At 43.0% G+C, this 17,613-nt stretch overlaps 1 protein-coding gene across 4 annotated transcripts in view; it reads right to left on the bottom strand.

Annotated features, from left to right (window-relative positions):
• CTNNBL1 (catenin beta like 1) overlaps window positions 1–17,613 on the bottom strand; it is a 178,089-nt gene that overhangs the window by 24,583 nt on the left and 135,893 nt on the right. For all 4 annotated transcript variants that reach the window (XM_024451947.2, NM_001281495.2, NM_030877.5 and 1 more), the window contains 2 exons: window positions 7,337–7,434; window positions 5,117–5,197 (listed from right to left, as the gene is read on the bottom strand). In XM_024451947.2, coding sequence (XP_024307715.1) covers window positions 5,117–5,197; window positions 7,337–7,434 — 179 coding nt within the window. The remainder of the gene's footprint in view (window positions 1–5,116; window positions 5,198–7,336; window positions 7,435–17,613) is intronic.

The raw sequence follows: 17,613 nt of genomic DNA, 5'->3' as shown, positions 1-17,613 counted from the left end.
TCAAGTCGTTCGGAGAGTCAGGTGAAATCTGCTGAGACAAGAACCCTGGATATTTACAGATCACAAGAACTGCTGCTCACTAGATGGGTCTCAAGAATTACATGCCCTTGAAAAGTTCAGGTCAAATCTTGCTCACCAGAAACCCCTAGGGTATGTCCAGAGACATTATGGCCCTGGAATCTCACAGACTTTGAATACAACATAAAAGCAGAAGGCCACTGCCCAAGACATGGAACTCTTTGCTAGTTACAGATTATTGTAATACGTGATTTGAACTGAATGTGTATAGAATTATCTATCAGTCCTGTTGATTCTTCGAAGTAGTATTTTTCCTTATGAAATATTGCTATAGTTATGCCACAGAATCCACAGAACTGTACTTAAATATTTTTGGTGGCAGGTCTAATCACAGAGAAAACAAAAATCAGGGTTAAAAATTAGTGTTAAGGAATAATGTGGAAAGCGCAGGGTGACTCGCCGTATCTTCCTTAATACTCACAGACAGATATTAATTTCACCTAATGAGCAGTGGTCTTTCATTTACTGAATGTGAGGCACGCTGTCCTGAGAAAACGATGAACAAGAGAGATTACAGTCCCAGAGACAGAGAGTAAACAAATAAATGAAATAATTACAGGTTCTGAAGCAGCTAGGGAGATAGGGCTCTCTTACAAATGGTAATCACTGAAAGCCTCTCTGAGGAGGCGACATTTTACTGAGACCTGATAGCAGAGAGGAGGCTCAGGGCAGAAGGGAGTGGCAAATGTAAAGAAGGAAACAAAGGCTGTGTGGCAGGAGGGGCCTAGTGGCAGGAGAAGAGGTTGGAGAAGCAGGGAAGAGTCAAGTCATGCAAAACCTTGCAGCAGCAGGGAATCAGGACAGTGGGTATGTACACATGTGCGGGGGCGGGGCAGGGGGACACAAACAGTCCTTGTAGAGAAAAGAAAGCTAAAGCTTCTCTGACCACCTTCTGTGTGCCAGGCCCTGTGCAAGCAGCTTTCATGCATAATACATTCACCGACACCATATCCCTACATACATAACTTCTCAAAGTACACAAACTGGGACATACACCTTAAACACAAAACAAACACCATCCAGAAAGAAAATAAGGATAGGGCAGTTCAACTGTTTGCCCACAGTCGGAGAACCAGGATAAAGCCTGGCTATAAAGCCCACGCTCTTCCTCTCACACCCTCCACTCGTGGAAGGTACCCTCTTCTCTCCCCCTTCACTTGGCTTCCCACTGCTGCTCCTTTGCTGTTTCACTCCAGGCTGGAAATGCCCTAGATATCCCTACCTTTTTAGGTTCAGCACGAATGCTCAGCCACAAAACTAGCCCCCCTAGAGTTTAGGGTGACTCTAGCCTTAGATGACCTCTCCCCACTCCCCGGATCCTCCAGCCCTTGTCTGCGGCACCACCCCTAGGCCCATTCTTTTCTTGGCACTTTTGCTTCTCACCCCCAGCTGGTGCCTGGCCTTGCACATTCCCAGAGCGGGCACCTCATCAACATTTGCCAAATGACTAGATTCTCTCCAGTGACCTGGGCAACTGCAAACCATGGGCACGTGCACTGTGCCCAGAGAAGTCTGAAGTTCACAGGGAAGGTGATGGCTGAGACAATAAAAATACCAATACTTGAGCCTGTTATCTTAGGTTTTTTGGTTGCAGACTTGGTGAGGTATGTGAGAGATTATTCACTACTGATCTGATAGTCAAAGTCTTCAAAATGCCTGAAAAATAAGCATTCAATTCAAGTCGACAAATATTTGCTAAGCTCCCAATTGGTGTAGGACATTCAAATTTAATGGGGGCAAGGAGACAAACTGTCTGCAACCTCAGAGAGAAGACGGCATGAGGCAGAGGTGAAAAGGAGGTCGTATTGTTCTAAGTCACTTTACACCTGTGAGGCGGCTTCATCTGCTAGGATGGCGCCTGAGTGCTAGCAGCAAACACTGCTCACAAACGCATCCCTCACCCCTACCTGCCCTGGCTCTCTGCGTAACACTGAGGCTGCTGAGCACTAATGGCCTTGGAATGTTTGCCAGTGCCCAGCAAAACGGCCTTGGCATCAAGGAGACAGATGTTTGTCAGGGAACAGCACGGCCTTGGTGCCCGTGGCACACAGCAGCTCTGTGAATGCTGGGAGAGTGGCTGCAGCGATTACTCTCCGTCAGTGCTAATCAATTTCACACCCTCTTCAATGCTGATAATAGATAATCTTTTGGGAAGCAGGCCAAGTTTCCTAACAGCTATGTGCAAACTGCTCCCTGACACCCAGCCACTTACTAGGTCTCCCTCAAAAAAAGTCTAAGCTGCACCTCAAATAAAGCATCTGATGGTGCCAACCCTCTCTTCTGCTAGGCGACTCCTTCTGGCAAGGAGGACGCTCTCAGGAAAAGGACTGCTTACTAAAAAGGCTTACTAAAAGGCTTACTAAAAAATTACACAAGAATTCCAAAGGAAGCTAGGAAATTCTAGCAGCAGCAGCGGCGGGAGCTTCTACTTACTGAGCAAAGTACTTTCTATACTTTATGCTTAGTCTTCATAATAACCTTTAACGCGAGGTGTTTTGTTTTTATTTTTTGAGACAGGGTCTCGCTCTGTCACCCAGGCTGGAGTGCAGTGGCACAATCTCGGCTTGTTGCAACCCTTACCTCTCAGGCTCAAGTGACTCTCGTGCCTCAGCCTCCCGAGTAACTGGGATTACACGCGTGCGCCATCATGCCCAGCTAATTTTTGTATTTTTAGTAGAAATGGGGGTTTTGCTTTGTCGGCCAGGCTGGTCTCAAATTTCTGACCTCAAGTGATCTGCCCGCCTTGGCCTCCCAAAATTTTTGGCCTACCCTAAAAAGGTAGGGATGTCTGGCCTCCCAAAGTTCAGGTGTGAGCCATTGTGTCTGGCCCAAAAGGGAGGTGTTTTTATTCTAATTTTACAGATGAGAAAACAAAGCTTAGGAAGGTCACCTCGATTATCCAAAATCTCAGAGCTAGAAGTGGCAAGATTACCTTTTCTACTAGACCGTTGCACCTCTATCTAGAAGACCAGTCAGTCACTGACCAACCTATCACTGCGCTTTTAATTCATTCCATTGTCCAAAAATGGCAGAGTTACCAAACGTTGTTTAACTTAACCTGAGGGAATGAGGGAAAACATGAAGCTTGAGGGGTTGGATCACCTTGGCTAGTATCACTTTATAGGCCAGAAACTGAGGCTACATGAGGCATAGTGACAAGCAGTGATTTAAAGGTGGTGCTTGCTCTTAAATCCTAGGTCCCCTGACTCCCAGGTCTTCTCTTTGCCACCCCTCAAAACCTCCCTAGCAGATAACATCGGGGATTCTGTCAGGGCTGGAGTTCTAACTGTCTCATGGCTTTTTCCTTACAAAAGTCCAGGGAATTTCAAGTTGTTTCTAATTATCATTCAGATAAAGAGAAGGAGTACATTATTCCCACAATTTAACAACCACTGAGTGTCCTTCACGTCCAAGTTACTGTATAGGGTAGAAAAGATGGAAACGGAAAGTTTAATTAAAGAACAAAGGGGTTGGGGTGAATTGGAATGAAAGAATTGTGGTGGAACATGCTAATATCTAAAGTGCAGCCTCAGAATTTAGAGTCTCTGCCTTTTATCTTGCAGTAGTATCACTGTATAAAAGAAGAAAGCCCCAGTTAATCAATTCAATCAATCCGCAAACTTCTGAGGACTTACTCAGTTTAGGGATCATAGGGAAATCACAAGAATGAAAAGCACAGCTACCTATCTGCTGGTGTTCATGAATGATACTAGCCAAGGTGATCCAACCCCTCAAGCTTCATGTTTTCCCTCATTCCCTCAGGTTAAGTTAAACAACCTTTGGTAACTCTGACATTTTTGGACGATGGAATGAATTAAAAGCGCAGTGATAGGTTGGTCAGTGACTGACTGGTCTTCTAGATAGAGGTGCAGCAGTCTAGTAGAAAAGGTAATCTTGCCACATTTTATGAAAGGGAAGAGGTGGATAAGAAGTGGCAAAGAGAAACAGGACAGATAACAAGGTCACTGTCTCCCCACATCCCCACAGCCCTAGTCTCTCACTCTGGCCTGAGGCATGCCCCGAGGGAAAATGCTGGTGTAATTCCCAGTGCAACACGGTAGCCTTAGCTGGATGATCCCAACACGGGAAGGTGGGGAGGGCTATACTAAAATCAGTCCTTCCACCAGTGAAGTTCAAAAGCCTCAAGTGTATCTTTAAGAAAAGACTGAAAAGGATGGAGTGATGCAGCAAAACAAGATCACAAGGAAAATGAGGTCTCCTGTAGACTTGGAAAAAAGTAAGCCAGGCGTCATTTTATAATGTGACTGAAGACTTGAGAAGTGTCTTGTAGGGGAGCGAATACAAATTGGACATTAAACAGTGATAGGAAAACTTACCCTGATTAAGGAATACAGATGGAAAGCTACAGTGGCCAGAGATGGTGGAGAACAAAACGGAAGGAGGTGAAAAACACAGAGGGTGGGATAACACCATAGTAAGCACAGCCCCTCCAGAAAAAACATCCAGCAGGTGTCACTTCTCTTAGCAACAATCAACATGAGAAAACAAGGGTCAGCCCTTCAGAACCTGCGGTTTGGCTTGGCTGCAATGCATCTGAGCTTCCGTTCTCTAGGTCTCCAGTTTTCCATCTGTAAATGGGGTAACTGGATTCCAGGACCATTCAGTTTCCTTCCAGCTCCTCTACGCTGTGATCACCCTTCCTCAGCATGCCTCCTTCAGGATTTCAGAAGCCAGCAAGTGTGAGTACTAAGACATGCTCTGCCAACATGGTACCAGGTCACAGCCTTGTACTTTGGCCAGATTTTCGAAGAGAAGCTCTTGTCAAGGGTGCCTGTGCTGTCCACCCAGACTCCCAGGTCAGACCTGGATGGACGCTACACATACTTCTTCCTGAAAGGGTGTCATTCGTGTCAGAAGAGCAGTCGTAACCACTTGGCAGACCATCATCTGCTCTACTTCTATAACATGTTAGATGGCACTGCTGCCCTTACCTATCCTGTGGGGTGATGGGAGGAACACAAGGGACCCAAACGGAGGGCAAGTCAATAGCTGGCAAAAGTGAGGCAGGGATACATACGTGTTTTTCCCCTTCAATCTTCTTGTCCGCCACCTGCATTGCACCCAGATATTTAAAATGCAACTCCATTAGTCTGTCAACCTGAAAGAGAGATTTCACAGGCTTGAGTGAGAAGGAAAGACAACGCACAGCAAGAGAACAGTGGCACTCCTATTCATCTCACTGTCGCTCCCTTACAAAGGGAGACCCGCTCTGGCACTCCTTACAGCGGATGAGAGAAGCTTTGCTTAGGGACACATCAGGAATGGATCAAAGGGCTGGGGCAGAACAAAGCAAACACTTAGGATGAATGCAGTTTGAACCAGGCCCATTCCCGAAAGGAGGCTATGCATTCTCAGCCCTTCTAGAACTCCCAGGAATGCACGTTGTTAAAAACAAATAAATAGATAAAAATTCAAGTCCCTTCTTGCCAAGAGAAGGAGCTTGAAGTTACACACTTGATATTCACTTAGAACTTTACAGAAATTTCTTTTTTCAAACTGAAACCTTTCATGTTCAGATTCTGCCCCAGAGCTGATCTTTTTTTAAAAATGCCTGAGTAAAATCTTTTTAGTTGCTTTTGAGTCAGAAGAGAGAGCAAGAAAACCTCCTTCAGCAACTTTAAAAAAGGCCCTGACTTTTGCTTGGCAATAACTTAAAAATCAGTTTTAAGTTGAGCAAAGTCATGCTTCAAACATGGCTTGAGGAACACTCAGTGGATTTGAAAAAGTTTTGTTTTTTCCCCAAGACTCCAAAATGACTGAAGAAACACTGTGAAGCCAGCCCAGACTCCTGACTTATCTTTTTATCAGGTTGGCACCACCACAGCCCTTGGCAACTCTGGCATTCATTTACCCAGGTGCTGATACTGATTGCTTAATAGGTGATGTTCCTGCAACATGCCATCAGACAGTCTGAGAAGACTGTGGTCAAACCTTCTTTAGCCAACACTGATGACCCTAAGACCTTAATGTTGCAGCTTATAAAGTATTTTCATGACCATTATTTCCTTAAACCTTAAAAAAAACCTGACAAGGTGTGCAGGGAAGACAGGTAGCAAACCCCATTTCAAAGATGAGGAAACCGAAGCACAGATGTTAACTGATGTCACTAGGGTGACGTGACTACTAAGATCTCCGTGTCCTAACCTGATGACCTCTTCATCATGCTATACTCCTGGTGAGGGTAGAAAAAATGGTCAGAGATAGCTCAAAGAGACAGTCTTAAACCTTTCTTGGGTAAGTTACATAATGTCTCTAAGCTTCAACTGCTTTGCCTGTCAATGCAAATAATAACTATACAAGGATAAATAAACCACAGTGTTGTAACAATATATGCAACGATGAAAGTCATCTTCTCTATTATCCAATCCATAGTAGTCACTCAATAAATGGTAGCTCTTATTACTGTTAAAAATCCTATCGTCTGGCATACTAAAGATATAAAATATCCATCTAATCTCATGTCACTGTGTTCCCAGCTTCCATAGCCCAATCCATCTAATGTCATGTAATTGTGTTCCCAGCTTCCATAGCCCGAACCATCTAATCTCATGTAATTGTGTTCCCAGCTTCCATAGCCCGATCCATCTAATCTCATGTAACTGTGTTCCCAGCTTCCATAGCCCGATCCATCTAATCTCATGTAATTGGGTTCCCAGCTTCCATAGCCCAATCCATCTAATTTCATGTAATTGAGTTCCCAGCTTCCATAGCCCATTTAGGGCAGGCTCTACCATTTCCTTATCATTATCTTCATTTTATTACCACCACCTTAGTAAGACCTTATCTAATTCACCTCCCACTGACCCTTCAAGATGAGTATTGATGTCCCCATGTTGAAGCTGGTGAAACTGAGGTTCAGAGTGGCACACATCTCAAAAGCAGCGAAAACAGGTTCAAATCTCAAGTCTGTATCCAAAGCCAATGCTCTTAATCACTTTGCTATGCTGTGCAGCAGCCCTCAACAAAAATCCTAGTCTAATCCACGCTCTTTGGGTCTAAAAATCCCCTCAAGTACTAGTGGTATCATCCTCAGGTGTTACTACTCCCAGGAGAATGCATTTGGAGATGAAAAGCAGAATAACCAGAAGAGCCTTTGACACGCAAAGCAACAGGGCCCAGGTGCCAGAAAAGAGAATTTTAGGGTAGGACCACTCAACCCAGTATCCCTCAGATCACATCAGGTAAAGAGCCTTTCTATCAGTCCCGGTCCCAGCTTTACAGTCCAACAGTCACCCACCTTCTCACTGTCATTTTCAGTGAATTTATTCAGAAGCCGGGTCCGCTGCTGCCCTCTCAGGTTCCGCAGGAGGGAAGCCAGGATCGAACAGACATGCTCTGGGTTGGGAAAGAGAAAAGAGAACATGCTGAGATCAGAGCAGTAATTATTACCTCTCTTCAAGCCTCGTCTGGTTCTATTGAGGGCAGAATAAGTAGGCCTTTCTGACTGCTGCTATTGATTAATAAGACAAGAACCTAAATTGTGTCACTAAAAAACCGAACCAATCTTCACATTGCACAAAAAACATATTCAAAAGAGATGAGATCCTCAAGGACAACTTGAGTAAGTGAATCAAAACTAAGTTAGAATTCCTTTTCTGTCTGGAATTAATTGATTTTTATTGTCCACAACAGAATCTCAAACTAATCCCACCTTTACAGAAATAACCTGTGAATAGAATATGAACACCAGCCATGGCATGAACAAATAATGGAGATAAGACATGCTGTATCGAATTCTCAAATTACCTTATAACTTTCCCAAGTAAACAGCCTGGAATTAAATATGAAATATGATAGGGACCCAGTGCTATCACTTACATTCTGGTGCAGCTAACATCCCCGCTTCAAGTTTAAAGGTGGCTGTACTGTAAGCACTTCAAAACAGTTAACAGGGCTTTCTGAGTTCAACAACCCAGCGGCTTCTATTATGAAATACTATTCTTCTACTCTTGGAAGAAGAGGGTAATTCAAGGGTATATTATAGGCTTCAGGTGAAAGAGATTCTTTTCTTTAAAAAGAACTTTCAAAAAATCAAGAATAATGACCTTGAAAAGCAGGTGACAAAAGTCTACTCGTGGAGAAATGGCAGAACAAAGTTTATTTTGAAATAAAATGCTCACAGTGTGAACAACAAACAGTTTATTTGAAAACTGATGAGCATCTTCCTATGCCAGTTACCTTGGATTCCCAAGAATGTCATCTGACTACTGAGGCCACAAGGAAGCATTCTTACTTCTCTGATTATAGCACGGATATAATTTTGTGCCAGTGTGTTTTTCTTCACTTAATAAGCATTCCCCATCCCCTCGTTTCCCTAATTTCTTAATGTTGGAGTTATTCAGTCCTTAGATTTCTATTTTCTATATATATTCACTTCCCTGGTAATCGCATCTTGTCCTATGGCTTTGAAAACCATTACATGCTGACAACTCACAAATTTGAACCTATAGGTCAGTCCTGTCCTCTGAATGCTGACTCATATATTCAGCTGTCTACCTGCCCTCTCCACTTGGCTGCCTAACATCCTATCAACTTTTTTTCCTTAATTTTTATTTTGAGACAGATTCTGTCACCCAGGCTGGAGTGCAGCGGCACGATCAGGGCTCACTGCAGCCTCAACCTCTAAGGCTCAATCAATCCTTCTGCCTCAGCCTCCTGAGTAGCTGGGATTACAGGTGCACAACACCATGTCTGGCTAATTTTGTATTTTCTGCAGAGATGGGGTTTAGCCATGTTACCCAGGTTGGTGTTGAACTCCTGGCCTCAAGCAATCCACCTGCCTTGGCCTTCCAAAGTGCTGGGATTACAGGTGTGAGCCACTGTGCCTGGCTGGTTCTTTTAAACTTAACGTCCAAACACAAGCTCCTGATCTTCCTCCCTAAACCTGTTTCCCATAGTTGTTTCCATCTAACTAATGGCAACCAGAATCTCCAGTTTCTCCAGCCAAAACCAGTGAAAATGCCTTTGATTCTCTTCTTTCTCACATCCCACGAGAAACCTCATCAGCTTTACCTTCAAATCATATCCAGTATCCCACCTCTTCTGACTACTACCACCACTGCTACTACATTACCCTCATTCACATCACCACCATTTCTTGCTTGGAATAGTCAATAGCCTACTAGTAAGTCCCTCTCCTTCCACCCTTGTCCCCTTTGGCCTAATCTCCATAGAGCAGCCAGCATGATTCCTTAGGTTAACACCTAACGTCAGGTCTGTTTAAAACACTCCAGTGACTCCCCAACTCAGACTAAATGCTGCTTCTAACGTCAGGCTGTTCCTGCCTCGGGGCTTCTGCACTTGCTGTTTCCTCCGCCTGAAATGTTCCGCGGCAGATTATCTGCATGACTTACTCTTTAAATCTGGTTTTACTCCACTGTCATCCTCTCAGCGAGGCTTTCCTTTGACCACCCTATTGAAAAATGCAATGCCTCACATGGCTATTCTCAAGTCTTATCTGCTTTATTTTTCTCTTCGTCATGTGTTACCTTCCAAAATACTGTATTTTGTTTATTTGTTTTGTTCACCATCTCCCTTCAATTAGAATACAAATTCCCTGAAGGCAGATATTTTAAGTCTGCTCTGTTCATTGCCATATCCCCGGTTCTAAAACAATGTCTGGCACATGGTAGGTGTTTTGGGAATACTTGCTGAATGAATGGGAAGAAAGCAGGCTATCGATATAAAAGTTTTCAGTGGTGGAGGTGGGCATGGGGGCAAACAGGCCACTTTTGAATTCTGGATATGTTTCAAATGCCTTCAAATACTTTTGCACTTTTATATATAATGCCTAGCCCAAATTCAGAGCAATACTACCTTTGCATTGCTAATATGCTTTCAAATTGTTCAGTTACAAGATGGTTCTTAAAGAGTTTTTGTACGTGGGAGCAGGTAAACAGCTTTTTCTGAGGGCGCCATCAATTTCAATAACATATTTCTAATTGGTAGAATCCATTTTTTTAGGTATTGAAAATATAACATTTTTCTTAAAATATGCTGTGGACAGAGGTACTATATACCTTCTCAAGACCCCAGGCTCCCCCAGTATCTTCCTTTCAACTTTTATGTAAAGCTGGGATTGAGGTGGTGTAACCTCCGTCTGCCGTAGTCACTCACTGGGGTGGGATGAGGGTAGAAAGTAGTGGAGAGAACGGGCCCTGCCTTCACAGGAAGACAAAAAACCCCATGAACCCAGGGTAAGGATGGCGAGCTAACAGAGCTCAGCTCGGGGTGAGAAAGTAGGATAAGAAAGGAACGTCTGTGAAGATGCACTTCAGGGAAAGTGCTCTGACCTTTGTGTATGCCAACGAGAAAAGGTTAGGGGCAGAAAGAATGAGGGACAGAATCAACTCTGTAACCTTGTGCCAACCAAGTTGGAAGTAGCTGTGATCTCTTCAGCTGGTGAACAGATATGGGACAGGCCATAATAAATGCAGTGAATTCTAACAAGATCAGTTCTAAAACTTTGGAATTACTTAGTATGACAGCTGGTGACAACATCCTGGTATTATATATATGACAATCTGACAACCACAGAGGAAGAAAAAAAAAATCAGAGCCAAAGTTCTCATCGATTATTTGAGCCAAATTTCTCATTGTATGATGGAAAAACCGAGGCCAGAGAGAAGTGACTTGTCCACAGAGCTAATTGGTGGAAGAGGCAGAACTCAAACTTCAGATTACTCCCTCATCCACTGACCAGTTTACCTCTGTGCCTAGCAAGTGCTGAGTGTTCAGGGCCATAAACAAACAACACACCCTCCCTAACCTGAAGAAGCTCCTCATTTAGTGAAGAAAACAAAACAATTATAGCACTGTGTAACAAGTTCCATTACTGAGGGAGGCAAACAGGACGTGGGCAACATAGAGGAGGGACAACTGACTTCCAAGGGTTCCTACTGGACATAACCAACAACTGAAAATCTTAAAAAACAAAGAAGAGCCATAGCCAACAACAAGGCAGAGAAAAGGAGAGAACATTCCAGGCAGAAGGAACAATATATGCAAAAGTCAGTATGAATGGACTGCCATGTCCATGTGGGAGAGGGGAGGCCAGTGAGGTGGGCAAAGGCTGACCATGGAGAACAGGGGCAAGGGCCTACCAGTGAATTTTAAGCTGGGGAGAGACAGCATTGGATCTGAGTTTACACCAATCTCCTCAGCAGCCACAGTCCTTTCAGAGATCAAGATCAAGAAAATGTTTCTCTTTCCTGATAAATTTTTTGTATTTCCTTATCAATGTTCCTTCTTTGCCTGGGCTATTAGGAAGCTCAAAGATGAATTTACACACAACCACAGAAAGCAATTTCTTTTACTGTTTTGTTGTTACTGATTCCCTTCACCCCCTACCAATGGAGTTTAAAATAAAAGCAATGGATGTATGAGGTAAAAATCAAACTACATGAAAAGGTACAACGTGTACTTGATATTTATTGAGCATCTATACTAATATATTTCTTTTCCCATATTCCTTCCACGAACCCATTCTTCTCTCCCAAGAAAAACTACAAGGTACCTTGTGTACATTTTCAGGGGGAAAATTTTGCATTTCATATATCTAAATATTCCCTAATATATATTTCCATATCGGCACCCACACTTCATTTTTTAAAAATGGCTATCTAGAATTCCACTGAGCTTATTTATCACAATTTTAACTAGCGCCCCATTCATGGGTATTTTAGGTAGTTTCCAGTTTTGCGTTATTTTATTCTTGCTATTAGAAGCAATGCTGCAATGAGTATACAAGCCCACATATTTTGACTTACTTTTGCACAAATATTCTTAAAACATATTCCTAGTAGTGGAATTAAAGCATCAAAAGAAATTTACACATGAAATGTTGAAAGACACTGACAAACTGTCTTCCAAAATGGCTGTACTAATGACATACCCACTATTAGTATATATATGAGCATCTGTCTTCTCATATCCTCACTCAGATTGCATATTATCCAACTTAGTAATTGTGACAGCCCAGTAGGTGAAAAATGAGATCTTCTTTTGATTAGCATGTTTTTGTTCTTGTTACGAATGAGGTTAAACATCTTTTCCTATGTGTATTAGGGTTCTCCAGAGAAACAGAATAGGAAATATAAAAATGTACAGGAAAAGATTTATTATGAGGGATGGGCTTGTGCAATTATGGAGACTGAGAAGGCCCGTGATCTGTTATCTGCAGGTTGAAGGCCCAGGAAAGCCAATGGAGTAGTACCAACCCAAGCCCAAAGGAATAATGTTTTGCCAACGATTTGGGTATCCCACAGCCCAGTCAACTTAACATAAAATTAACCATCACACTATGTTTACTGGCCACTTGTACTGCTTTTTCTTGAACTGCCTGCCCTTATCCTTTGCTCAATTTTGACTTCTATGAACTCTTTATAAATTAAGCATATTACCCTTTTCCAAATATGTTGCAAATAGGTTCCCTAATTTAACATTTGTGTTTTGACAAATTCTTATTCAAAGCTAAGATTTAGTGCCACCATATTGTTTTGGTGAAAGCTCCTTCTAATTCCTATTTGAACGTAAGTAGGGTATAATAATAACTGTCATCATTGTTACTGTTTATCTATGCCAGTAGGCTTGAGTCTGTACACAATTTTTTCACTGAATCCTCAAAACTAAGCTGTGGAAAAGGTACTATCCACATCTCCATTTTATAAATGTGGAACCCATGGCTCGGTGAGATTAACGGACTTAAGGTCATGTGCTTGAGTAGGTGGCTGGATCTTAGATCTGAATCTAAGTCGCCTGATTCCAAACTGTAAGCTTTTCCTACCATGTTATGCTTCCCACATATAAAAGGCAATCATCAATGCTATTAAAGAAGGAAGGTAAATGAGACCATGCAAAGCCTGAAAATACGCCTCATATTTGGGCTCACTGTGCCCAAAAGACAGACACTATGTAAATGTGGATTAAAAAATTAACAGTTTTAACAAGAGTAAAATGAAGTAAAAGGCCATATGGAGTAAGACATGAATAACAACCCTCTTTCTCTATTTTACAGAATTAGTCTTTGCGGAAGCAATTTCCACCACAGTCTAAATAAAGAAGAGACTTTGAGTTTCAGGCAGTTCCACAAAAATACTGAACCAGAACTTCTCAATAATTTTCCCTTTTAATCTTGCTGATTAAGATGGATGAGAAAGAGTTGCAAGAGAATGTTCTTTATATACCTCAACAAGATGGGGGAGGGAGGGCTGGGTGCTGGTGGCACAGAGAGGGTATCAGAAGCTGTAATTTTCAAAGAGAAAAATGTAATAAATAGAATAACCATCTTCTTTGGCAGCACATGACACTGGCATGCATTTCCACGGCTCACCACAGTCTGGAGCAAGGTATACCATGATCAACTGCAATGGTATACTAAGAATAAATGATATTTACCTATTTGGGATTTTAAGTGAAGGATAGGTTGCCAATTGATGCCTATGCCCTTCTACCTCTCTATCTGGATGCTGAGGCACGCCATAGGCTACTGGTGCCGGCCAGATAGGGAAACACTTCAGCCATCCCAAATTTACACATATATACACACACCGAGTTTCATTAGCTACTAATAAATGTAGCTTCCCTAAGAACAGATTTCAGCCCAAGGTGGTGTCAATTTTTCATGCACCAAGGAGACGGGGAGAGCTGCTGGCACAGGGAGCAGGCAAGATAACAGGTTTATCTGCTGGCCAACACTGCTCAGCTGCTCCGTCATTTCGACAGGATAAAATGGAGGTGAAGGATGGTTATGGAGCTGTCAATGCAGATGGGGTGGATGTGGTAGTTCCCACTGCAGAGAACAGCCTCTAAGGGAGGGCCCAGGAAGTGCAGAAAACACACATGCATGTACACACGCACACACACACACAGAAGCAACAAGGCTCCACCAAGGGGAAGGCCAGGCAAATCTACATTTTCAAATCACTAGGCAGAGAGGTAGGTAGCCTGGCATCTAGGTGGAGCGTTACAGAGCCAGGATTGAAATTGTGCCAGTGAGAGTCCCTGCCTGCTGGGCTCCCTGCTCAACAGTCAGACAACTAGCTGCCTCAGACAGACACTAACTACTGAAACCGCCTGGAGGGAGGCTCTGGCCCACCCTTCCCCCAGCTCAGCTCTCTTCAGGGCTTCTCAAGGATGATTAGCAAAGGGTTAGATGCCTGTTTCTATGTGAGAGGGCTAAAAGTTTGATTTTCCAGGGGGCAGTTCGAGTTTTATAATTTTCAGAGCTGGAAGGAGGGCTAGAAATCTCTGATCTGATTCTGGGGTTCTGAGTATGGAAACAATAGCCCTGAGAAGGAATGTGATTTGCCTCAGGTCCAAAGTACCTTTGTGGGCCACTGGAATCTAAATCTGCTTTTCCCTCCAAATCATGACAGACATTTGAGACTGATACACACGGAGGCATGCTACCCTCCCGAAACACATACACAAATGTAACATTTTCCATGGAGTTTCAGAGCATTCACATCTCTTAGTGATGGCTCTTTAGTTAAGAACGCTTGATCTAGTACACCCAAATCAGAGGTCTTTCCAGAACAGCACAGACTGTGGCAGTCACTCCAACCAGCCATTTATAGTGTGCACCATTTTTGTGAAGAATGGGATGGACTGGCATTTCTCATCCCTACTCTCAAAAAAAAAAAAAAAGTATGGTCCACATTCCAGCAGGTGTTTGGTTAACATTACCCATTCTCTATGAGGAGAGCTATTTATCCATAGATGGGCCTGCTTATGAGTAGGCCTATTATGGTTCCATTGCTGAAAAAGACACACAGGTACATGGAGAACACTAACTCCTGGGATCTGCTCCAGACATGCCAACAAGTGAATTAATTAACCTTATGTGGGGATTTAGGATCACAGGGACATGGATTCAAATCTTGTCTCTGGCACTCACTAGCTGGTTAAGCCACAAGCATGGAGCTTAGCCTCTGAGCCTCAGTCTTCTTATTTGTAAGCTGGGGCTGTCCCTCCCATCTATTAAACCCATTCTTTCAAATGAGGTATGTGTATAGTAGGCACTCAACAGACAGCAGTTTGAGATCTGTTGTACTGAAAAAGAGAATCACAAGGGATTCGCTCACCTACGCACCTGTCCTAGATCACCAGGTAACTCCTTCCATACTGCAACCTGATCACATGTCTGCCACTGAACATGTTTCAGTCAGCCCTGGTCATCCTGACTGGCTCCTGCTGAGAAAAACAGAAACCTAGATTGCTTGGCTCTCTCAGCTGGTAGGGCTATTTTCTCTAACTCAAGATTTGTTCTAACCCTAAAATGGAGCAAGGCCAACTTCGCTCAGACTCTCTAATCCCACAATAAATTAAAATAAAGTGCTTGTGTGTCGCTGGCTATAAAGCCAAATAATACAAGATTCTGGGAGACCTGCAGACAGTGCTAAGGTGGGTAGTGACTATTTACTAGTAAGTTGAAGGACACAGCACATCTAAGTAGAGATGGTCCTACCTTTTAATAAAAAGAAATGTACTTGGCCATGATAATCATTTGCCTTTTGGTCTTCCTGCAAGAACTGAAAATACAATGTGTGATCTGTAAAGAAATGAAGATTAGCTTCTCCTTCTAGAGTTTCATAATCTTATGATAATTATAGGGCATGAAGTGGTACGTCACCAGCCCTCCCTTTTCTCAAAATTCTGAGTACCAACTATGTGCCAGGCAATGTAGCAAGTACTAAGACGACAGTGATGAAAGCTAGCCCACTCTAGAGAAGCTCATCATTTTATGATTAACGCTAAGAAATAAACAACTACAGCTGGGTGCGGTCATTCATGACTGTAATCCCAGCACTTTGGGAGGCCGAGGCGGGCAGATCACAAGGTTAGGAGATCGAGACCACCCGGGCTAACATGGTAAAACCCCGTCACTACTAAAAAATACAAAAAATTAGCTGGGCGTGGTGGCGGGCACCTGTAGTCCCAGCTATTCAGGAGGCTGAGGCAGGAGAATGGCGTGAACCCAGGAGGTGGAGCTTACAGTGAGCCGAGATCGCACCACTGCACTCCAGTCTGGGTGTCAGAGCAGGACTCTATCTCAAAAAAAAAAAAAAAAGAAAAGAAAAAGAAAAAAGAAATAAACAATTACAATAGAGTACACAATTAACTGGCATGCATGGAAAATACTCAGCGCATATGTGAAGGACCCCTAATTCAGCTGGGGTAGGAAAGAGGAGGGCCTGAGTAGGAGTGGCTACACACTGGAAGTTAAGAGGTCAGAACTGAGACAGAAGAAAAACATTTTCCTCCAAGACTCTGGGAGAGATGCAGGGCTGGATGTATTACACTGGCAGGTGAATGGCTATGCGCTAGCAGCTTCATGTTTTCAGTGGTAAAGTTGGTGGACAGAAACCAGAATTTGGGGTTCTATGGGCACACTTAGTTTTTGAAGCCTAGAACTGGGCCACATTCTTGGAGTCAGGGATAAATGGAATACAGATGGTTCCTGATTTATGATGGCTTGACTTATTTTTTGTCTTTACGATGGTGCAAATGCAATATGCACTCAGTAGAAACCGTACATCAAGTACCCATGCAACCATTCTTTCACTTTCAGTACAATATTCAATATATTATGTGATACAGTCAACACTTTTTTAAAAAAATAAAATAGGTTTTGTGTTAAATGATTTTGCCCAGCTGTAGGCTAATGTAAGGGTTCTGTGCATGTTTAAGGTAGGTGAGGCTGAGCTATGATGTTTGGTAGGTTAGGTATGTTAAATGCATTTCTGACTTACCATATTTTCAACTCATGATGGGTTTTTTGGGACATAACCCCATGGTACGTTGAGGAGCATGAGTCCTATGTATATTAACAAGTCTCCCAAGGTGGAAGTGGGAGAATAGAAGGAAAAAAGTGACAAGGTGCACAGTAACAATCCCTAAATTTGACTTTCTCAACCTTCTGTACCAAGAGAGGTGCCTCCAGATTCTAGAGGGGTCCTGCTGGAACCTCTGTTGAAGTTTTAAAATGGCAGGGCAGGGGAAGGCTCCGTTCACCAGAAAGGAAAAGGAGGCCCTAGCAAGCGGAGCTGGGTCACAGGAGGAGGCTTTTAGGAATCTTTGGCACAGGACTCGTTCATTTACTGACAAAATAGGTATAAGAATCCTACAATGTGTTAAGATTCATGACAGAAAATGCTATGTGAGATGATGGATATGTTAATTTGCTTGATTGTGGTCATCGTTTTATAATATATACCATTCATATATCAAAACAAAAAGTGGTATACCTTAAATATACAAATTTTTCACATGTCAGTCTCAATAAAGCTGTTAAAATTTAAAAAAAAAATTACAGTTGGCTCACGCTTGTAATCCCAGCACTTTGGGAGGTCAAGGCTGGTTAGATTGCTTGAGCCTAGGAGTTTGAGACCAGCCTAGGCAACACAGTGAAACTCTGTCTCCTACTAAAAATACCAAAATTAGCTGGGCATGGTGGTACGCTCCTGTGATCCCAACTACTTGGGGGGCTAAAGTGGGAGGATCATGTGAGCCCAG

The sequence above is a fragment of the Homo sapiens genome, chromosome 20, assembly GCF_000001405.40.
Source record: "Homo sapiens chromosome 20, GRCh38.p14 Primary Assembly".
NCBI lineage: Eukaryota > Metazoa > Chordata > Mammalia > Primates > Hominidae > Homo > Homo sapiens.
Note: the sequence above shows the minus strand (reverse complement) of the source record. Positions and strands in the feature narration are given on the sequence as shown.